Source organism: Homo sapiens, chromosome 9, assembly GCF_000001405.40.
Source record: "Homo sapiens chromosome 9, GRCh38.p14 Primary Assembly".
Classification (NCBI taxonomy): Eukaryota; Metazoa; Chordata; class Mammalia; order Primates; family Hominidae; genus Homo; species Homo sapiens.
The window spans coordinates 18,413,525-18,438,438 of NC_000009.12; the positions used below are offsets into that span (position 1 = coordinate 18,413,525).

Here is a 24,914-nt window from a genome sequence, read left to right on the forward strand (position 1 = left end):
TTTTGCCACCAGCTCAGCTGTGACTTCAACAAAAAAATAATTTTAAATATTTTCCATAGCATTTTAGGTGTTTTCTATTGGGAGAATTATCTCAGCACATCTGGTACAGTATATTGACTTATGATTTGTTTTTAAGGAAGGAAAGATGGAAGAAAAAGTTTCAATTACACCAGAGCCCAACTCTTCATTCTCTTTTATTATTGAATTGTTGTAGCTTCAAAGTCTTGGTTGTAAAGTCTCTTTCCTCACACAGCTTCCCGTCCCATTTTTCTTGCTTTCCATCATGGCAGAATTATTTGAGACATGTTTATGGGATTTCCAGCAGAGCTTTAAAATAAAAGATTGGCCACAGTATGATATCCTGGCTAAATTTTCTGTTTTTCAAATACTCAGAAGAAGAAAAAATGCACAATTCTGTCTGAACTACTAAATCTTTAGGAAAATTACAAAATCTGAATTGTTGGAGCATCACAGTGAGTGACAAAAGAGCAAAGGGACTTGCCAGTTGACTCAAGGCAGTGAGATGTTGGGTACAGCTGGTATTTTTAATTAGTTACAAAAGATATTTTCTCTACAGTTGACTATTCAAGTATGAGTGTAATAACGTCTCTAAGGCTAATATCATAAAATTTCATCACTTAATCAATTTTAATTCTAATTCTTCAAAAGAGGTTTACCCTTCAAAGAAGCTAAATCTGAGATGTCACATAAAATATGCTTATTAATGCATTTAGCAACATCTGGAACGTATTCTCCCTACTAATTGATTCTAAAGAGTTTACTGTAATGGAAAAGTAATCTTTTAACAAATGAGAGACTTCTTAATTATATTCAGATATAATCTTTATGTATTTTTTTCAACATAAACAGCTTCTATTAAGCATTTTTAAAAAGAAATAATAGTTTCCACTTCTGGACAAGATGGAGTAACAGAGACCAATTTACACTCATGCGTGAAACAACCAAAAAAACAAACAAAAATGTGTGAAACAATGGTTTTTAAGAAACCGGATGTCAGGCAGTGATCTCTCAATTATGATGAACAAATTAGGTAAGTCCTGCAATTGCTCTAACTTACTTCCTTGAGAGAGTTTTCAGGCTGTGGCTCAGGGAGGAAACTGGGCAGAGCCTGGAAATTTCCCTGAGTTGAGGAGTTGAACTTTGAAGCAGAAAGACCAAGATAGAGGCTGTACAACAGAGTACCAACAAGGAGATAATTATACAAAGAAACCTGAAAACCTGCAGAGAATCACCTTGAAGTATCCAGCAAAATACTGATCAGTACATGCCTGTTAAAAAACCACACATTATCAGTAAAAGAACTCCTCAAAAGGATTAGAGAGAGGAATACCGAGCACTCCCAAAGAGTGGGAGGTAATGCCTGTTCCCACAAACCAAACTGGAAAACACAATTTACAGGGTTTAGGGTAGACTGCTAGGAAAGTCTTGCCTCAATCATGGGGAATAATTAGCCCCAATCTAAATACAACTCTGGCCTTGCCTGACATCTCAAAAGCAAGACCCAGAAGAATCAGACTGATTCCAAGTAACTTAAATGCAGCTCAGAACAAAGCTTAAGAATGTTTACATAAATACAGAAATTTCTATACCCAACAAGATAAAATTCACAATGTCTGGCAGCCAATCGAAACTTAGCAGCAATGCAAAGAAGTGGGAAAATATAACCCGTAAAAAAGGAGCAAAATCAACCCATCACAACCACCCCAGAATTGTCACAGATGTTGAATTAGCAGACAAAGACATTAAAACAGTTTATATGATTGTGTTTCATAGGTTCAAAAAGTGAAGTGTAGACATAGAAGATGTATTTTTAAAAAACAACAAATCAAACTTCTAAAAATAAAAACTTTAATATCCAAGAGAAAACATCCCATGGACCATATTAGTAACAGATTAGCTGTTGCGGAAGAAAATAATAGTCAACTAAAAGATATACTAATAGAAAGATCCCAAATGAAATAGAGACATAGAATTGCAAAATTAAAAAGACAAAGTATCAGTCAGCTGTGATACAACTTCAGTTGCCTAATATATATGTAATCTGAGTTCCTGAAGTTGGGAGGGGGTACAGAGAAAATACTATTTGAAGAAATGGCCAGGAATTTTCCAAATTTGAGTAAAAAGAAAAAAAAAATCTACATATTCAAGAATCTCAACAAACTCTAAGGACAAAAAACATGAAGGAAGCTACACTAAGTCACATCCTAATCAAATTACTTAAAACTAGTGATAAACAGAAAATCTTAAATGCAGCCAGAGGAAAATGACATTTTATATAGAGAAGCAAAGTTAAATATGACAGCAGATTTCTCCTTGGAAACAATATATACAAGAAGAGAATGGAGCAGTATTTGTAAAATACTGAAAGGAAAAAAAGGTGATAATCTAGAACCCCAAAACCAGTAGAATATCTCTCGCAAATGTAGGTGAAACAAAAGCTTTTTCAGACATGAAAAGCTAAAAGAATTCATTACTAGCAGACCTGTACTACAAGAAATCTTCAAGGAAATCCTCCAAGCAAAATAAAAATTATGACGAATGGGAATATGGAGCTACAGAAAGGAATGAAGAACACTGGAAATGGATAACTACAAGGGTAAATACAAAATACTTTCTCTCATTATTTAAATGCCTATAAATGATAATCGACATTTAAACAAAACTAGCGTAGTATGGAAGTTATAACGTAGGTACCTAGTTCTCATGAGAGCTATTGTGATATCACTTGAAAACGGACTATGGTAAGTTGAAGAGATATACTATAAACCCTAAAGCAACCACTAAACTAACCCAAAAATTTTAGCTGATAGACCTAAAAAAGAGATGAAATGGAATTATAAAAAAATTGCTTGATCAAAATGAGGGCAAAAAAAGGAAGAGAGTAAACTAAGAACAGATAAAGTCTAAACATCCAATTGAAAGATAGAGATTGTCAGATTGGATAAAGAAAGTATTACCCAGTGATATGCTGCCTTCAAGAAGTATATTTTAAATAAAAAGACACACATAGGTTTAAAGTAAAAGGATAGAAAAAGATATACCATGCTAACTAACATTTATCAAAAGAAATCTACATTTGATATATTAATATCAGGCAAAACAGATGTCACATTAAAGAATCACACCAGGAATAAAGAATATCAGTTTTTAATGATAGAGGAGTCAATACATTAGGAGAACATAACAATTCTACTAATCCACATATTTTTAAAAGAGCTTCTAAATGCTTAAAGCAAAATCTGGGTAAAACCCCAGGAGAAATAAACAAATTCATAAAGTCAGAGATGTAAATACTCCTCCCTCAATAATTGAGAGAACAAATAGAAAATCATCAAGGTATAGAAGACTTGAACAACACAATCAGCTAATTGACATTTATAGGACACTCTGGACATTTATAGGATATTCAGTCAGAATACACATTCTTTTCAAGTGTAGATGGCACAATTACCTCAATAGACTGTATTCTGGGCCATAAAACAACTTTTCAATAAATGTAAAAAGATCCAACTCACACAAAGTATGTTTTCTAATTAGAATGGAACTAAATTAGAAAAGAATAACAAAAAGATCTCTGCAAAATTTTCAAAATATTTAGAAATGAAATAACCATTGCTAAGTAAGCCATGTACCAAAGAGGAAATCAAGGAAAATTATAACGTATTTTGAACTGAGATCCCACTAGAGCATTACTTGAGAGGGGGAATTTATGGCACTAAATTTCTGTTAGTAAAGAAAAAAGGTCTTCATACAATGACCTTGGCTGCCACTTTAAACTAGAAACTAGAAAATAAAGGCTAAATGAGAACTAAAGTAAGCAGGAAAAAAAAAAAAAAGAAAAAAAAAACAAAGATGAGGGCAGAAATTAATTTAAATTGAAAAACAATAGAGAAAAAATCAATAAAAATAAAAGCAGTTCTTTGAAGGAAACAACTAAATGGATAAACATTTAAAAAGATCAATCCAGAAAAAAGAGAGAAGAATTAAATTACCATATCAGAATGATACAGAGGCTATTACAGACTGTGTAGAAATTAAAAAGAGAATACTACAAACAACTCTGCTCATCTAAATTCAACAATATAGATGGACCAATTCCTAGCAAACCACAAACAACCAAAACTCATCCAAGATTAAATAGAATCTGAGTAGTCCTCTAACTATTTTAAAAGTTGAATTTGTAGTTAAAGTTTTGTCAAAAAAGGAACCTCCAGACCCAAATGGTTTCACCGCAATTTTTACCAAACATTTAAAGAAGAAATAACACCACGTCTACCCAATCTCTTCCAGCAGGTAAAAATGCAGAGAAAACTTCCCAACTAATTTTATAAAGCCAGAATGAGGCTGATACAAAAACCAGACAAAGATAATAAAAAATAACACTATAGAGCACAAAAATTCTCAACAAAATATTACCAAATCAAACTCAGCAATACAGAGAAGAAATAATACAATATGACCAAGAGCAGCTTATACTGGAAACTCTAGGCTAATTTATTACTTTTAGAAATCAGTCAGTGTAATCCACCACTTGATAGTGTAAAGAAGAAAGAAGAAGTAAAATTGATGCAGAAAAAGCATTTAACAAAACTCAATATTTATTCATGATAAAATCTCTCAGTCAGCTAGGAAAAGAAGGGAGTTTCTTCTAACTGATAAAGAGTATCTGCTAAAAAACCCAACCAAACAAACAAAAAGTCACTACAGGTAACATCAAACTTAGTGCGAAAGACTGAACGTTTCCCCCCCGGCACTGGGGAAGGCAGTGATGTCCAATCTCACTGCTTCTATTCAACATTGTACTGGGAGTCCTAGCCAATGCAGTAAGTAAGAAAAAGAAATGAAAATTATACAGATCAGAAAGGAAACAAAAGTACCCCTATTTGCATAATACACAGTTTTGATTGTCTATGTAGAACATCCCAAGGAATCTACCAAAAACTACTAGAAGTTTAAGTGAGTATAGCAAGGTAGCAGGATACAAGATGATTGGACAAAAATTAACAGTATTTCAATTGGTAAATGAAATTAAAAACCAATACTATTTAAGAAATAGGGATAAAATGGGGAAAATGATATAGGGCTAACAAAATATGTATGGGATCTGCATGCCAAAAACTAAAAAATGCTGATGAAAGAAATCAAAGAAGACCTAAGTAAATGGAAAGACATACCTTATTTATGGACAAGAATACTTGACATAGTAATGATGTTAATTCCCCACAAATTGGTCTATAGATTTTATGCCATTCCACTCACAATCCTATGAGGATATTCTGTATAGACACAATCTGATTCTACAATGTATGTGAAAGGCAAAGGAATAAGAATAGTTAAAACAATTTGGAAAAGACATAAAGTTGGAGGAATTACATTATGCAGTTTTAATACTTACTATAAAGCTTCAGTTGTCAAGACAGGGTGGTATCGGCAAAGAGAGAGACAAATAGATCGATGTAACAGAATAAAAAGTTCAGAAATAGATTCATATAAATGTGGCCAATTGATTTTTGGCAAAGTTGCGTAGCAACTCAATTGAGAAAGAATTGTCTTTTTAACAAATCATGTTTTTAAAATAGAAATCTACACATGCAAAAACAAATAAAGCAAAACTCTCAACCAAAACCTTATACCTTATGCAAAAATTAACTCAAAATGGATCATTTATCTAAGTTCAAAGTGTAAAACTATAAAACTTTTCAAAGAAAACCTAGGAGAAAAATCTTTGTGACCTAGGATTAGGCAAAGAGTTCTTAGACATGACTCAAAAAAGCATAATTCAGAAAATAAAAGATTGGTAAATCTTAATCAGAACTATTAATTGGACTTAATTGAACTATTTTTTTCTCTTGTAAAATGTTGAACATGTACTTACCATGTAACCCAGTAGTCCTATTGCTGGATGTTTACTCTAGAGAAATAGAAAATTATGTTTGCACAAAAACCTGTACATGAATATTTATAACAGCTCCCTTCATAAGCACCCCAAAATTCACCAAGATACCATTCAACAGAGGAATGGATAAACAGACTGGTACCTTTGTACTGTGGAATACTACTTAACAAGTAAAAGAGACACACTGCTAGACACACTACATGTGATACCTTGAATAAATCTCGAAAGTATGCTGAGTGAAAGAAGTCAATGTCAAAAAATTGCACACTGTATAATCTCATTTATTTGACTTTTTTTTTTTTTTTTTTTGAGATGGAGTCTTGCTCTGTCGCTCAGGCTGGAGTGCAGTGCGATCTTAGTTCACTGCAACCTCCGCCTCCCAGGTTCAAGCTATTCTCCTGCCTCAGCCTCCTGAGTAGCTGGGACTACAGGCGCACGCCACTACACCCAACTTATTTTTGTATTTTTAGTAGAGATGGGGTTTCACCATGTTGGTCAGGCTGGTCTTGAACTCCTGACCTGGTGATCCACCCGCCTCGGCCTTCCAAAGTGCTGGGATTACAGGTGTGAGCCACCGTGCCTGGCCTATTTGAAATTCTTAAAAAACAAAATTGCAGTGTTGTATTAGGTTGATGCAACAGTAATTACAGTTTTCACCATTACAGTTTCGCCAAATAGGAGGCTAAGCATTACTTTCGCCATTACTTTTAATGGTGAAAACCGCAATTACTGTTGCACCAACCTATAGAACAAATCAGTAATTACTAGGAGTTAAAATTGGGGTAGAGTTTGGCTATGGCATTTATAGGATGAACTGGAGAGGAGAGTCTGTTACAGTTATCCATATAGGAGGGGATAAGGGCTTGAACTAGAATGGTCTACTGATTATAATAAGACCACTGTAGACCCAGGACCAGCATTAGGAAATAGAAGTATATGTGTCTGGCATGGAATTCTTTATATGGTGATAGGGTGGACTCTTGGATGCTAACCTGGCCTTTCCTCAAATGTAGGTAAGAAAGGCAGCAAGCCTACAGCTCAGAATTTTTCTGACCTGGTGGATTTCTCCTTCCTCTAAGGCTGTCAGTACCTCCAAATATTGGGCATGCCTTTGTGAGGAACTAGGGTGGCATGGAGAGCTGTGCCCACTCACCTGTGTTATCTGGTGTATATTTATTCTTTCAGTGCTATTGCTGGTATCATTGATAGCAGGGGACCTGTTGAGCAGGAGAGGGTTTGAGAGGGAGGATGTTGCATTCAACAGGCAGCACATGGGAAGCTCTTTACAGTTTGCTGAATGAATGGGGGAATGAAATCCTTCAAGACACTTTAAAAGGTATATTCCTTAAGGTGCTTAAAATTAAAAGGACTAGATTCAGGAAAAAAATAGTTTTTGTCTCGAATGCCAACTCTGAATGGTAATGGGTGCCTAGAGCTCCCAGTTGAGTAGAAAATTAAGGCTGTGCCTTGGCCCTCTGAGAAAATGTGCCAGGCATAATCCTCAATGTCTGCCTAGATCATAGGAGAAGGAACGGAGGATAGGAAGCTAAGCAGAGGCTGAGGAAGAATTCAGATTGGGCAGACTGGGACTGGAACGTCATCAGCAAAGGTGAAAGTTGAAGCCTTTCCAGTAGATGAGCACCTGAAAGAGGAAATGCAGAGGGTAAGAGAGGTCCCACATCACTGGAATGCGTTCCCTGATCACCTTCCTCTCCTGTTCCCAACCAGCTTTCAGGTGGGCGGGAAGCTTTACATTCTTAAATCCTTGACTATTTATAATAATCTACTTCCATATAAAAGTAATATCCCATTGGTAAATATAGTATTGCATTTGAGTAACTCTGCAATACCTGTAATAACTACCATTTATTGAACACCTATTTTATTTCACACTTCATTCATACTGCAAAGTTCTTACAAGTTATTATCATTCTTTTCTTACAGGTGAGAAAACCAGCTCTGAAAGGCTAAGACACTTAGCCAACATCACAGAGCTCCTAAGCGATAGAGCCAGGATTCAAACATAGGACAGCAAAATTTGTGTCCTTGCTGCTATTAACAGCAAGGATTTCATTCCTCCATTCATTCAGCAAGCTGTAAAAAGCTTCCCATGTGCTGGCTGTTGAAAGCAACATCCTCCCTCTCAAACCCTCTCCTGCTCAACAGGTCCCCTGCTGTCAAAGATACCAGCAGTAGCACTGAAAAAGTAAATAGACACCAGAAACCGGGAAACATAGCTGTAGCTAGTCTTTAGACACATTTAATATTATGAGTACAGATTGCTGTACAGAATGATAATAACTTGTAAGAACTTTGCAGTATGAATGAAGTATGAAATAAAATAGGTGTCCAATAAATGGTAGTTATTACAGGTATTGCAGAGTTACTCAAATGCAATACCATATTTACCAATGGGATATTACTTTTATATGGAAGTAGATTATTACAAATAGTCAAGGATTTAAGAATGTAATATTTGCAGGATGTTTCTTTCATCATCATTTGCTGCATAATCCTAGCAAAGTAATTTTAGTATTAATTAGCTGAATGCTGCTGGAACTGGTGATAGCTTTGTGATACAGAACTAAATAAAATAATGGTAGTCATTTAAATGTTGTACTACCTCTTATAACTGCATCCAGCTCATCTCTGCTTCATTTCTCCCTGGTCTCCTATAAAATCTCCCTGGTGATTTTCTTTAGTTAAAAGTGCAGTATGTTCTCCCTATTGAATAATGTCATACACACACACACACACAAGCCACCTTAAACATGGAAAGTGTGTCTAGGATGTTTGCCACTTTGTAAATTTGGATGAGGTTCCTAAAAGTTCTAATCACATCAAAAGAGATACCCCTCTTTCTGAAGTAATTCTCTGGCATCTTCTGTGAGTTCTTCCTACACCTCACTGAATTCCCTTCTTCTAGACCATGAAATAATACATTGACTTCTCTCTGAATAATGTTACATTGTGTTTCTGTGGCATTCAGACATCCTCCCTGTGGGTTTTCATGTGGTTTGTCATGCATTTTTTTTGAACCAGCATTGGGCATGAACTGGCCCCGCTTTCCTGAGCCTCGTTGTTCACCCACACAGACAACAGGCTCCGCTACTCCTGCTTCTTGTATTTCACCACGCACTGTGTGCCCCTGCATGCCTCCGTGTCCTTTTACCATCTTGCGCTCACCATTCAGAATGCCTTTTCTAGTTTTCACAAAAACTCACCCTTCAAGAGCCCACTGACACATCTGGGAAGGCTTCCTGGGAATTCATCAAAGGGCGTAGATCCTTCTTTTTCTGTGTTCCTGCAGCATCCGGTATGGCCTCTGTCACAGCCTTCCTCATATAATCCAGTAACTGGTTGCTTTCTTGTATGTCTTCCCATCCCTAAAGATAACCAACAGCTCCCTGTGGATGAAGACTTTATCACTTGAGGGCAAGTGAGATAAACTTGCCCTCTAACATTCTTTCTCACAGTTGACAATAACACTGTGTTATCCAATAGTGTTAATTGCAGAGGCTTCTGGAAGATCCCACTTGCTTTCCAGACTTTGGTGTGTCCTGTGTGTAAGACCTTTGTATGGGATAGGAAAACTCCCTCATCTTGTAGTGACCAATTTCTTTAATTTCTTTCCCCTTCCTGGAAATCTCTTTAATTAAATTTTCCGAGGCCTTTCGCTGGTGACCTAAAGGCCCCAAGGGATTACTTGTGTAGGAACTAACCTGGCTCTGAGCCTAAAAATGGTTTATTGCTTCGGAGAAATTACTTTCTGGACAATTTAAACTGGATTTTCCTTCTGTATATGTTTTTAGATAATAATGGAAAAAAATCATAAATTACCCAGAACCTGGGAAAGAGGGTTTTAACCTTGTTATATGACATAAGTCACCTAATAGGAAATGAGCATTTTAAAAGATGCCAACAAAAAGCTGATAATCCTGAGTCTCTGGTCCAACTGATTCCCCGTTAGATTCACACTCTTATCCCCATTAATGGTTACATAGGTAAACATATGTACTCAGTCTCTTTCTTTGGTATTTTTTGAGAGAGAAGTCATTTAAGTGAATATGTATTCAACAAACCTTTCATGAGAATCTTTTGGAGGCGAGGCATTGTACTAGGCACTTTGAGGGATGCAGCTCCTTAAGTACAATATTGTCCCTACTAGCGAGGTAAGAAACATAAAGAAAGCAACATAAAAATGGCATTAGGCCTTGTGAGAAGTATAGGAGCACGCTTTTGGAGGTCAGAGAAAAAGAAGGTCACATTTGCCTGAGCTGCGTTAGAAAAGATTGGGTGTTGAAGCCAAATCTCCTGGTAAAATGTGCAAGAAATCCATCTTACTTGCAATGTAGGGACAAAATAGGATGGCTTCCATTATCTTTTAAAATAATTTGGAGATTTAAAATGTATACATATCTTCAATCCTAACTTTCATATCTTTAGTTTTCCAGTATGAGATTAAGATAAATATGTGCATGAATGGCACTTATCCTCAAAGTCTTTATCCCACAGGCTAATGGGCAGAGTCTTGGTATGTTAATAATGCTTCTGAAGAAAGAGCAGAAATGTAGCTGAACATGAGAATGTTTGAGTTACTTATTCAAAGATATGCTAAATTTAACCTCAAAGAAATCACTTTAGTGGTATCTCTGAATGTCTTCTAAAATAAGATCAATTTCCCTCTGTCTGGGATATTTTAGATATGGCCTTGCTTAATGGTGAAAGAGTAGACAAGAAGCTGAACTATTAGTGTTTCTTCCATTTCCAAGACTCTCTGATGACCCTCTCAGCCAATAAAGTACAAGCAAGTGGGGCTGAGAAACAATTAATTGCCCTGTTGAACTCATGCTGTAAGAGAAGTTGTGCAATGTCCGGGGACACATTCAGTGAATACTTTAGACCAAATACTGTGCTAAGCAGAGGGCCTGGAAAGGTGAATCTTATACAGTCCCCATGACAGCACTCAGCTCAGTGGGGCAACAGTGAACATGCATCTCCTACATTACCATCAATCAATATATAACATAATAAGTGCACAAAAAAAGTGAAAACAAGTACTATGGGGTAGATAATTCTCCAGGATAGCCTGCACAGAATGATCTCATTTGATAACATAAACCCCAAAGTTAGAAAAATGCAAGAATAAAAACACCAAACATATACAAGGGGAAGAAAGCTGTGCCCATATTGTCCTGTTTATTAGAAAGAATGAAGATTATTTATTCACTCACAGTCTAGAAAGAAGAGCTTTGCATTGTCTTTCTGGTAGTTACTTTCATGGAGCCATTCAGACCTACCCAGCCTCATGTATGATCAGGATGGGCCTTATTTTCAAGTGGAATCTTGAGGTTTTGTGAGGAAGTGTTCTACAGCCAGCCTTTCTGACCCACTAGGCTCTTTCATACTGTTATGGCGTTTGAAATGTGGTTCATCGCAAAAGAGTATGCCCTGGAGTATTTACGTCTTTTGGTCTTCAGATGACCTCTTATCCACATATCCACCCAGAAAGTGTTTGAATTACCACCTATGATCTGAATATTAGTTGGCAACTGGCTGAAAACAATGCTGAACTATTAAAGGAAGTCGTACAATGTTTACAAACACTACTAAAGGTGCTAAGAGGAGAGATAGGGCTGAAATTTGAAACTGATTTATCTGCTTTGCAATTTTTCTGTACAGTGTGCATTCTCTCTCTCTCTCTCCCCCTCCACTCCACTCTCTCTCCCTCTCTTCGTTTCCTCCCTCCCCCACTTCATCTTCTCTCCCTCTCATTTTATGTTCCAGCCCTCATCCTCCCAATCTCGTGTTCTCACCTAAAAAAAGAACTGTAAAATTATTAGAGTAATGTGAGTTTTCATAGTTGAGTAGAACAACCTTGGCAAGATAGGTACAAAATGCACACGTGCAATCTTACCACCATTTCTTAGCCAAATTTGCTACTCAATAGAGTTCTGTTAGAATAGCAAAAATATACCCTCTCCCAAAAATATACCCTCTGCTAAGCACCAGAAATCCCCAAACATTGCTAAAATATCCAAGAGCACTTCAAATGTCCGAAACTCTGGTTAAGTATAGTTCTTAGTTTTACAGCAATAGTTCTGTGTGGGTTTAAAAAAGAAAATTCTCCAGGCACAGCAGCTTGCATCTGTAATCCCAGCTACTCTGCTCAGGAGGCTGAGGAGGGAAGATGGCTTGAGGCCAGGAGTTTGAGACCATTATGGCATCATAGCGAGAACCCATCTCTAAATAAGTTTAAAAAAAAAATAGCTGAGCAGGTGGTGCATACCTGTAGTCCCAGCTACTCTGGAGGCTGAGGTGGGAGAAGAGCTTGAGCCCAGAAGTTTGAGGCTGCAATGAACCATGGTCACCCCACTGCACTCCAGCTTGGGTAACACAGTAAGATCCCTGTCTCAAGAAAAAAAAAAAAAAAAAAAGACGTGTATAGATTCGGAAAGTGAGGAGAAAAGATGTTCTTTTGGAAGGTAAAGGGTGAAAAGATGTTATTATTGAAAGATGAGACCATGAGAGAAAAATTTCCCAGAAAAGTGCCAACCCGTTTAGCATCAGATGTGGGATGCTTATATTTTCCCCTTTATGCTTAGTTTATTTCGTCAAAAGTGTGGCTGTAGTAATCCTAATCAGAACACTTTGCTGGAAGTTCACTAACCCCTAAAGTTCTCAGAATCATATAGATCAGATAAGGCAGCCTAATTTGGGGCACTACTTGGTTAAGAAAAAAATCCCAGGGATAGGAGGGAGAATCCCTGCCTAGGGCCCAGTCCACCGGCCAGCTATTATACATCCAGGAAGTCTCCATGACCCAAGTCATAGAGGGCTGGGATAGAAGACAGCTTTATAGGAAGAAACTCTTCACTTTGCATTCAAGTTACTCTCCCTCCCTAAAGGGATACCTGCATTTTCAAGTTCCCTTAAAGTTAGACTGGCAAATAATTCCCTAAGTATAAGAAAAGACCATGGTCAAATGTGTAAGAGGTATAAATACTCAGTAATTAATCTGCATTTGGGACTTAGCTTCTGCCTCCTAGAAGCCACCATAATTATGAAATTATCTACTAATAAGAGCTACTATTGGTTGATTTCTTACTATAGTTAGGAATTTTCTAGGCATTTTAAGTTCATTTTCTGCTTGTGAGGTAATGACATCTCAAATGATGAGACTTTCGGTAACCCATCAAAGATCACAGATTTAGTGTAGGGACATAGCTCTGAGCCCGGGGGGTTGCACCATTAACCAAGAAGCCATGCTGTCTCCTGTAAGGAAACTGAGGCCCAGAGATAATTTTTTACTTGCCCAAAGCAACTTGACTAGCTGAATTCAAACCTGGGTCCAAATCTTTCTAAATTTTTATGCTCGTAATCTGAAACGAACAACCTTATACACTAACCAAATGAAGAACAGGGAACAGTTTATCACTTTATTTTTTTCAATGAAAGCTGTTCCTTAATGAATCTGGCTAAGATTACAAAAGGTTTTATTGGGAGGCTTGGAGAACTGTAGTATCTTCGAAACATTTTTATCATTTTCTGTACACATCCCACATAGCACCTTGCTCTGAAGTCACAGCTCTCTTGACAGACTTTAAGCAGAATGGATATTTTGATGCTTCCATGATTATCATTCCCAAATGGTTTTTTCTTCCATCTGCCAGTCTAATCATCTAAGACAAATCTTGTAGCAAATTGAAAAACTTGTCATGAAATAAGTCTAACTAAAAGTTACTGCACACAGTTCTGAATTACTTAGGAATGAACTCAGGAATTATCAGCTATAGTTAGAAAGATCCCAGTTTAGATTTGTACTAATCGACTTGCTGAATTGCTGAAAAGGGACATACTCAGATGTGTTTTCAGTGGATGCTTTCCATGGCTTAGGCTAGGGATAATTCCTGTATTTTTGAATGAAAGCCACTTGATGGGTAGAAAAACAGATTCTCAAGCTATGTCATAGAAGTGTGTTACTAAAATATTTGGAAGGTGACTTCTATATCTAAACAAATTATAAGTCACCATAAACAGATATTATAGGAAGTTGATAAAGCAACAATGGCAAAAGGAAAGAGAAATTTTTTTAAGTTTTAATCATTTTCTGCAACTTGTCTAAGAAATCTGCTTCTTTTAGTGCAATTCAACTTAAACTAGAGGAGTTAACTGGCTTTGCCCACATTTTTCTCTTGCTCTCTTAAACTCTCAGGAGATTTTCTTGCTGAGGCAGGAGCCCAGGACCTGCCTTGAGGCTTGAAGCTTCAGGAGATAAGCACAAAGCCTTGCAGGTTACATTTTCCTAAACCTTTCAATTAGCTAAAATGTTTTTATTTAAGATGTGTTGGCTCTCAAAAGCAGAGGCGGAGCCTGCTCTGCCATTCAAAATGAACGTAGAGATGATGAGACTGCTCAGTTCCTACTCATTTCCCATGACTGTGTTCAAACGGATGTGCTTAGTTCTTGGTAAAGAGTAAAATGCCTCTTCCTTCTTCTGTGCCTAGTCCAGATCTTTGAAGTCTGATGTCTGCAAAGCTCTGCAGTGCCGGAGCTGTCAGGCAGTTTGCCACCCTCCTTCTCCACCTATCCTGTGTTTCCCAAACAAGGTTATTTCTTGAGGGCTACCCTTTGTTTTAAATATCTTACAGTCATCCAAGCATGGTAAAGCAATTTTGGATCATTATATAATTTTTCCACAAAATTCAATAGGCATTTATAAAATCTGTTGTGTTTGGCATTGTATTTGGCCTTAAAGAGGAAACAGAATATTTGGAACATAGTCCCTGATGAATGCAAGGATCTCTCTTGTTTACCAATAAAAAAGAAAAGAAATTATACAGATACAAGAATTGGGGCCGGGTTTGCCATCCCACATCTATCAGTGGCTCACATCTATAAATTCCAGCACCTTGTGAGTCCAAGGTGGGAGGATTGCTTGAGGCCAGGAGCTCAAGAGCAGCTTGGTAATATTGTGAGACCCCTATGTCTACAAAAAAAAAAAAAAAAGAAAAGAAAAGAAAAATTAATTAGCTGGGCAAGGTAGCAGGCACCTGTGGGCCCAGCTACTCAGGAGGCTGAGATGGGAGAATTGTGTGAGTCCAGGAGTTCAAGGCTACAGTGAGCTGTGATGACACCAGTGCATTCCAGCCAAGACCCTGTCTCAAAAAAGAAAAAAACAAAAAACAAGAAAAACACAATTGGAACATATCAAACAGTAGCATGTAAATAGAAGAAGGCAAATTGTGCTACATATAAAAATGAGGCAATCTACATGATTTTTGACCATTTCAACTGTGTATTTCTTTAATGTGCATAAATAAAAAGCCTCAGTTCTTTTGAATGCCTTCTTTCTTACTCATTCTGATCTTTAGTGTGTAATCCATAAAAGGCCATTGGGCCCTCCATAAATCTTCTTTAATTCAAAGCATAACTCTCAGAGTTCAAAAACTGAGCAGATTAGCTATTGCTGCTCCTCACTGAAATTGTCGGTGTATAAACGTCTCCCTGGAGTCACCACTACAGTCGGCATAAAAATAAATCAAAAGTCAGCTATAAGTTCCAATGATTTATCAATGAGTTTTTTAATGGTGTGTGTCTGAATTATAGCATTTTTACAAACCCCACCACCAGTTGCTATTTTCATTAGTTCATAGCATTTCTGAGTTTATGTATGTATATAAATATATATACATACACGTATGTGAATTTGCATCTATAAATTTTGCATTTCATAATGACATATTCTTTGCCACTAGATCAGCTATACTATTTTTGGAAACATTACTCTCTACTTGGAAATCATAACCTCTTAGTCAATCTGAATATGACTTCATAACTTTTATAGTTTTTACCCATACTTTTGCACAACCTTACTGTGATTGCAAAATAGCTCTGTGTGGTTAAGGGGAAAAAAAGAGAGTAACTTTGCATTACATACCCTAAAAATGCTTCGGAGTCTCTGTTTGGGTATTGGGATCTGGATATGTCTGATGTGTCTGTGTGCTAGTGTGAGCAGAAAATCTAAGAGGTTAAATAAGTGACGGTTTCTAAACCAAAACTTTGACTCTATTGCTTCTCCAGTTGCTAATTAAATTAAAGTCGAATACCCAGAACAATGCTTCCAGGATTCCCTCAATCCTGGAAAAAAGATTAACATTAACTTAAAATGCAGAGCAGCATTAATTTTATTCATTAGGCCTAAATAATGCTCTTATTAATTTATCATTCCCCTTTAGAAGGAGGGGTCTAAAAGTTCTATTGTTAAATGATAAGGATTTTTTCATTAAAATTTTTTATTCCATTTAAATTCTCTATTGACATGATAGTAATACGTTTTGATTTTTGTTTTTGTTTTTGTTTTTTTGAGATGGAGTCTCGCTCTGTCTCTCAGGCTGGAGTGCAGTGGTGCTATGTCGGCTCACTGCAACCTCTGCCTCCCGGGTTCAAGCGATTCTCCTACCTCAGCCTCCCGGGTAGCTGGGATTACAGGCACGTGCCACGACACCCAGCTAGTTTTTATATTTTTAGTAGAGACAGGGTTTCACTATGTTGGCCAGGCTGGTCTCAAACTCCTGACCTCAGGTGATCCACCCATGTCAGCCTCCCAAAGTGCTGGGATTGCAGGCATGAGCCACCATGCCTGGCCAATAGTAGTAAGATTTTAAACAGGACTTCTTAAAATTTTATATACACAAAAACCACCTGGGGATACTGTTGAAATGCAAATACTGATTCAGAAGGTCCAGAGTTGGGCCTGAGATTGCGCATTCTTAATAAGTGCCGGGTGGTTTCTAGACAACATTTTGAACAAGATTTTAAAGTATCTAAGCATGTATTGCAAAGCTTCACCAACAGTATTATTTTTCTGTGACCCACAATGGCTTCCCAAAGTGTGCTCGCCTGAGTTCTCCTTCTGATGCCAAGTTCAGCATTACTCACTCTTTTCTTACTTATATTAGAGGTTGCTAATCCAGAAGAATGTATCAATAAACCTTCCTATGGACTTGGAACTGATCTAGTTCTAACTTTTCTCCAGGTGTGTGTTTGTACAGACCTTAAAAATATTCTAGCGGTGTGTAGAAAACTAAAGCATGCTTTAGACACATATTTTGTGCATTTAAAAGGGTTTCATGTGACTTACTCCTGGGATCTCATCCCAAACTGCCTATACTGTTTCCCTAATCCCAAGCATCACACAACTAAAAGAGGCTTGTGAATTCCTCTATACCAGAGACACTAAGCCAAGGCCAATCCATTGTCTTTCAACTTCTCCTTGCACCAAGCACACATCCCTTGAGCTAGAACGAAAATTGTACATCTCAAAGGGATAAATAAATGTTTGCTGAAGGAGATTGAATGAGAGGGGCAGAAAGTTGAGGCCCCTTGTACCACTAACAGAATTGTAAGTACTTTTAATTGGGCAGGAAGTGGGTTAGAATGATTAGCCCCATAGTGATTTAGCCATAAATGATCTGTACAGACATAAAACAGGCTGAATGGGTCATATGACATTTGGATATATTAGGTCCCTACAGAGATGGTAGGGAAATGGTGCCAAACTGCCCAGATGCGTACACTAATCATTGAATGCCAGAGAGACTACGTGGGCCAGAGATGTGGAACAATGGTTACATGCCCTCTACTAGGTGTACACACTACACACATGCCACACCTGTGCCATCAAACCCTGGTCACCTACTGGACAATATCCACAAAGTAGATTTCATTCAAGACAGACCTAGGGGACCAGCTCAGGTTCAGAAATGCCCCAGAGGTGTTTTTACTTGTTGAGATGTTGAATTCATATGTCCAGAATGCAGATGCAGTAGAGTGCTGCTTAGGATGACTTTCAAGAGTCTGGCACTGTCAGAGGCAAATCCCATAAAATATCCCATTATTGGAAGAAACTAAAAGTGTATCAGTGTGGCTCATTTTTCACAAGTCTCTCTTAGACTAAGCTTGTACATATTCATTCAGAGACAATTATGAGCATCCTTTGAAATGTTTAAAGACCCAGATTTCTGAAATTTGGAAGACACTGCACTGGGGATAAGAATTAATATATAGGACTCTATACTAGAAACTCAAAATCTTAGACTTGGAAGCAACATTAGAGGTCATTAGTCCAAACTGCCACTCAAAGCTGGAATCCTCTTTGCTACATTCTTTGGCAGATGGTCACCCAGCCTCTGCTTGAACATTTCCAGAAGTCTTCACCTTCTTCCACCTTGATAAAGAAAATTTCTCAGCTGCCCCAAAGTCTTCTGTGTCTGAAGTCAACAGCCCCATTCTCCTAACTTTTCTTCCCATGACCAATCCTTACCCACCTAAATGAGTAGCAAATTGTCAAGATCCTTGTAAAAATGTGACCTCCAGGACTGAGCATGGTACTCATATGACCTGACTAGTACAGATGCAGCACAACTAATATCTATATAGGCTGGGTTGTTTTTTAAATTCATGTAGCATAAAAGTGTACAGTTTTCCACCAGCCATGACACTTCTGAATTTTACAAAGTTTATAGAAAACTGAAAGCCCATAGCATTTTCACATGAAAAATGGTAAAACTCTTTCTTACTCTCTATTGGATGATGAATTTTCCTTTTAAACCTAAATTCAGAATGTGACATATATCTCTTTAAAGAGGCCAGCTCATTAACTTTGGTCTGTTGTTCTGGTTGAAAAGAATTTTTTTTTAGCTACTCATCTCAGTTGTGTGCCAACCATAGATTACATAAAATAATCTCTTTTGTGTCTTTAATCAAATCACTGATGAAAATGTTGATCAGACCAACCTCGAGTCTTTCACATATCTCTTTATATTGGCATTAATATACTAGTTTCTATAGACCTACTAGAGAGCCCAGCACATAAGAAGTGCTCAATAAATGTTTGTTGAGTTAAATGTATAGGTTTTCACCATGTATGAATCTTTCAACTAGAATCTTATGTAGCTTACATTATTCTATGTTTCCCGTAGCAAATAACCAAAAATTATCAAATGCTTTGCTAAAATAGTCATATAGTAGAAATGAGCACTAGATTAAGCCAATAAAACCCACATTCTGAATCTTATGTAGCTTACATTATTCTATCTTTCCCATAGCACATCACCAAAAATTATCAAATGCTTTGCTAAAATAAAGTAGTCATATAGTAGAAATGAGCACTAGATTGAACCAATAAAACCCACATTCCAGTGGTTGCTTGCTGAGGGCCTCAGATAACCTCTTTTATTGTCCTTATTTCACCTTTGTTTGAAAAACGGGAATCATTAGTACCGGCTCTGAAACTCATACAATTATTATAAGGATCAAGTGTGACAACATATGTGAAGATAGTTTATAAATTATTTGTAGTACGATGGTTCTTCTATGAGTTAAAATTATGCCTGTACCTTTAGTTGTGGGATTTAGTGTCTTCAGACAGTAGCAAGTGTCCCTGCCTCCTTTGTTACCAATCTTGCTTTAGCTTTTGAAACTTTGACTACAGGAAACTATGTAGAGGTTTTAATTTGCATTTACTCAAAATATGCAACACTGTCTAATAGGATTAGAATGAAAACATTTTCATCTTTCTCACTATTTAAATCTTTTAAAATAACTTTGGCTAGATTTTTTTTAACCAACAAAACCTCCTGTTTGTTTTAAAAAGAATGGGGAAGTATAAATCCTGTAAAATGTGAATAGATGAGTAGGCTTTTATAAACCCTTCCCGTGCTGACTACAACTAAAAACAAAAACATAAAAACTTCATTTGTATGATTTTATCACTCAAAAGTTGTGGAGAGTTTTAATGACAGTACATTAATTCTTAATATAGATTCTATTGGAGGCCTATAATAACCAAAATGGTATCAATGTGTGCGTTCTTTCCCCTAAAAGAATAAATGTCTTTATGAAGTGAAACATAACAGAATGACTCCATATTTCCTCAGGCCTAGATTGGATAATTTTATTTATGAACTATAATATAAATTATTGGAATGTCTTAGGGTCTTCAATGGGTAGATTTAATGTAATATTGCCATTAAGAAAAAACAATTTTGAACTTCCCTGATGCGCTGAAATTGGGGAAGCCAAATTGCTTTTAATAGACTTGATCTTAATATATGTAAAGATGGTGATATACCTGAGCTCAAACTGGGCAACTACTCAGAAAGGTCGAATTCAAGGCAAAATTTGAAAAGGAAACCATGATTTTATCACCAGTTTTATATTAATCCCAGAGATCTGAGCAGAAAACTTCATTTATTCACTCAAAGCTAATTAAACCTAACTACTGGCTGCAATCTAAACTACACACTTAAGAGTAGACTAGGAAAGTTTTCAAATAGTTCCACAAGTTTTAACAAAATGACTCATAAAATTGTAACAGATCTGTTCCACAATGTGTATATGTCCTGACATATAGAAAATGGAATTTCTACTGGATTCAATACAGAATGTGTCCATATAATGCTTTGCTGTTTAGGGGAATGCTAATTGCAATTCTCATATCTTTTCACCAATCCAAAGAGCTGTTAGAAACTGTAAATTTTAGTGTTTCACACAGGTAGGTTATCATAACAAATCATCTAGCCAGGAGATGCTGAACTTTTATGTAACTTTTCCTACACAGGAAGAATAGCTCGTAGATCATAGCTTCAGCAGCTTAGAAAAGAGCAATTATAGAGGGAATACATGTGTATATTTAGCCCTACGTTTAGTTCTATCAAGGCAGCTCTTAAGAGACTCTAGAAGTTTTTAAAATTATCTTATTTAAAAGAATTCAGGGTCATAAAAGCTTTGGGCAAGGTCCTTATGGGCCCATTTTCATGAAAAAAACAAGAGGCTGTGCTCGGTTAGTAAAGAAGAAATGATATTATTCCCAGAAGCTCCACCATGCATCCCTTCTGTCTCACCTCCCAACCACAAAAATTAAAATTCAATTTTGGCAAATTTTTATGGAAACCTACAGTACGCCTGGAACTATTGTATACACTCTGTAGTAAAGAACAAGATAGACAAGATTCCTCATCTTCATGGAGCCAACTTTCTATTAGAGCAGGCAGGTGGGACACATGAGAACAGAAAATGAGAAAAAGAAAAGAAAATGTTCAAGAGTAATAAAGATTTTGAAGAAAATAAAATAGGTAGAATACCTGGACAGTTCCTGTAGATTAGGCAGGTGGTTAGAAAATTCTGCAAGAGGTATGGCATCTCTATCCTGAAGACAGAGTGATATTTTGGAAATGCAGTTGGTTAATGTCACTCCCACCCTGAATTGAAACACTCAAATGGCTCCTACAGTCTTTTACATGACTTGCCTGCCCTGCAAGATCTGGCTGAATCTACCTCTCCCATCTCATTTAGTACCCTTCCCCAGCTTGCTGGTATCACCTTATTCAGTATTCAGTTCTAGGTGCTTCTTCAAGATCATAACCACAGTTGAATTTTTCATGTATGTGATTCTTCGACTGGTGTCTAAGTCAACTACTAGACTGGGAACTCCATGAAGACAGGGACCACATCTGGCTTTGATCACCACTGTATCCCTAACACCTGGTGCAACATCTGGGTCACAATAGATGCTAAATGCATGCTTTGTAACTTGTGAATGCATAAAAGAGTCAAAGAGGGAGTTGAGATGTCATGGCACAGCATTTCCAAAAACCAGTCTGCTCTAGGATTATACAGTCTAGTAATTCTTTTCAAGAATCATTTTTAGAAAGGCTTATTGCTCACACAGTTATGGTATATTGAGTGCCTATTGTACAAGGACTTATATTAGATACTTTAGGAAATAAAAAGATGAAAATACATGGCCTCTGTCACTATAGAATTTATATCTTTAGTCTCTTCATAAGTGAGAAAACCTTAAGGTAGACTTTAGCAAATATTCATTTATTTGTCCAACCAATAAATGTGCCAGACACTGCTCTGGGGATGTCATGGTGAGTCTCTGACTTCACAAAGTTGTATTCTAATGGGGAAACCAGAATTGTTCAAATACTCACACAAATATGTAACTGCAACACTGATCTGTGTTATGAAGGAACACACTACTATGAGAATATATAGGAGGGGTTGGAAGTAGGGGCTCTGATCGATTTGGTTAGCTAGGAGACTTGAAGTCCAGGGAAGGGTTCTGACAGAGAGTATTCTAGGAGGAAATGGAAGTGAACTGGACCTTTGAAGAGATCTGTGAGGCCAGGACAGAGAGCAGAGGAATGTGGTGTATTAATCCATTTTCACAATGCTGATAAAGACATACCCAAGATTGAGCAGGCCTCACAATCATGGCGGATGGCAAGGAGGAACAAGTCACATCTTACGTGGATGGTGGCAGGCAAGGAGAGGGCTTGTACAGAGAAACTCCCAGTTTTAAAACATCACATCTCATGAGACCCATTCACTATCACGAGAACAGCACAGGAAAGACCCGTCCCCATGAGTCAGTCATCTTCCACGGGGTTCCTCCCACCACAGGTGGGAATTATGGGAGCTACAAGATGAGATTTGGGTGGGGTCATGGAGCCAAACCATATCATGCAGTTAGAAAATATTTGACCTTTTACTTTAAAGAGTAGGTAAACGTGTTTAAACAGATAATTTTGCATAAAGCTGGAAGGGCAGGCCAGGGAAACAGCAAGAACCAGATTTAACAGTAATAGAATTGGGGGCACCCTGGAGGGTTTGCAGGGGTCTAGATTGGTTTGAGGATTACAAGTCTGAAGGAGGCTAGGGGGAAATAAGGGCAGAAGTAGAGGCTGAAGAAGATTGTGCAGGACTGTAAATGCTCGGGGAAGGATGTGGGGCTTGCTTTAGGAGGAGGTGTCCAGCCACTCACCTCTTCCATTTCCTTCTTTCACACCTCTCTATGGTCAGTGTCAGAGAAAGGCATGGCTCTGGACCACATCCCATGCACCTCCTCAAGCACATCACTCTTTTCATGCTCTGCTCTTTTCCCAATATCAGCATCCTCTTTCTTGCTCTTGTTTATTTCACTTCTACTCAGTTCTTTTCTGATCAGGGGAACACTTGATTCTGTATCCTTCTTTACCTTGCACCACGTTGGCTCCCTTTATCTCAACAGACAAGCTCCTTCAAACAGTATTCTGCATGGCCTCTCTGCACTTCCCCAATTGCCCAGTATGTCTCCAGTCCACTGCTCCTTTAAACTGCCCTTGCCCAGGTCACCCATGGCCTACCTCTGTGTTGCTCAGCAGACACTTTTCAGCTCTTATTTTACTTTACCTCTCTATGAGTAATTGATGCTGCTGATTCCCCCCTCCTCCTGGAAAATCCCTCTTTAGTTTCCAGAACCACATCATTTTTTCTCAGCCATCATCATGGAATCCTTTCTCCTACACTGTATTATACAGCATTACCTGGAAGCAGACTCTGAGGTGGAGAGCTTCCTGCAAAAATGTTTGTTGCAGAGTGCCCTTGAGAGATACACCCGTAAGGAAGGCAGGAGCAGTAGGTGGAGGGAAAAGTTGACCCACCATAAAGTTGTAGCCAACCCTAACAGACACTCTAGAGCTAAAACAACCCTTCAGAACTGTCTCAAATTGAAGCCAGGGTGGCTCAGCCTTGTTATCTGAGCATCAGCCAGTCATTGGCTGTGGGTCACCATCTAGGATGGTTGTAATCTTGGACAAGGCAATTCTCGGTGGCTAAGAGGGATTCACATGGAGGGGGACACTCTGCGCATCAAAACTGAACTCACTATCTCCACTCCAACCCTCTTGCAAATCCACTGCTTATCTTCATTTCCCAACTTCCTCAATAGCAGCAACAGCATCCACCTACCTAGGCTGCCAGAGCAGTCTTCTCTCCATGTCCCGTGTCCAAATAGTCACCATGGCCTGTAAATTTTACATCATTCATATATCTTGTATTCAATCCCTTTGCTCCATCCCCAGTGCTGCTAGTTTTGTTCAGAGTCTGATTTGTCCCTCCAGTTTCTTCCAATGAGACCCCTTCTTCTAGTCATGACAGACTGCAGTCTATTACTCTGTTTTGCACAATGCTTAAAATCCTTAACTGCCTTCTCACTGCTACAGGGCCAAGTCTGAACTCCTTAGGATGTCACAGAAGTTGTCTACTGACCTGCCTTCCTAACCACCCCCACCACCTCCCTTTCTGAATTCTTTTTGAACTTGCTTCTAGCTAACTGGCTTTCTAGGGTCTGAGTTACAGAGATAACTTTTGAGAGTTAAAGAAAGCTACCCACAATACTAGATCATATTATATTTGGCAGTGATTTCTTCTCAGTGACAAACAAAGCTCTTGACCCAGAACAGTGATAAGCAAGGCATTTCATTAAATACCAGTATTAACCCCAGGAGATCACATGACCTTTTGAGCTTCCCAGCTTTGGCAAGAACACAGCCCCTGCCTGCTAGCTGGGCTAATCTGAGACTGAAAGTTGCCACTAAATCCTGATTAAGCATGACTTATGCCCCCAGCTGTTAACACTGATACACTCGCAGTGCCAAGACCAGGCGCCATTCCCCGGGCACTTATACACCCCTGTCTGCTAATGCCCGCTGCTGTTGCTGCCTGCTGGAACGGGAAGGAGAGGATCAAGGTCACTCTTGAGTCAGTGAGGAGCCAGGGAACTTTTGTTAACGCGTGCTTGATGGTGGTATGCTGGGTTTTGTTTATTCTCTGCATCAGGCCAGATAACATCAAGCAGAATCTAAAGTCTCTTCATTGGCGTTATGTGACCTGAAAGCATTTACTGCACGTTTCTAGTCTTAATCATAGGAAGAGAAAGGAGGGGGAGAGATGGAGAAAAAAAAAAAGGATAGGAATGATAAGAGAAATAGAGGGAGAGAAAGACTATCAACAGAACTTGTTATTTTTGAAAAATAACTTCTGGTGAAAATGGAGCTCCTCTCTGGAAAACACAGGCCAGTTTTGCTTTCAGAGTAGGGAGCTCGCCTTTTGATCTTTTGCTAGGAACCCAACACCGTCAGGGCAGCCACCCCCACGGACAGCTGAA

At 38.0% G+C, this 24,914-nt stretch overlaps 1 protein-coding gene and 1 long non-coding RNA gene across 12 annotated transcripts in view; one reads left to right on the forward strand and one right to left on the reverse strand.

Moving 5' to 3' along the window:
• Positions 1–24,914, forward strand: part of ADAMTSL1 (ADAMTS like 1) — a 1,004,318-nt gene that overhangs the window by 506,892 nt on the left and 472,512 nt on the right. The gene's annotated exons all lie outside the window — the stretch shown is intronic.
• Positions 257–23,980, reverse strand: LOC105369293 (uncharacterized). The gene is made up of 5 exons (XR_001746429.3): positions 23,717–23,980; positions 9,142–9,324; positions 7,071–7,559; positions 5,897–5,932; positions 257–327 (listed from the first exon to the last, which is right to left on the reverse strand). It is a non-coding gene; the product is annotated as an uncharacterized LOC105369293 (long non-coding RNA).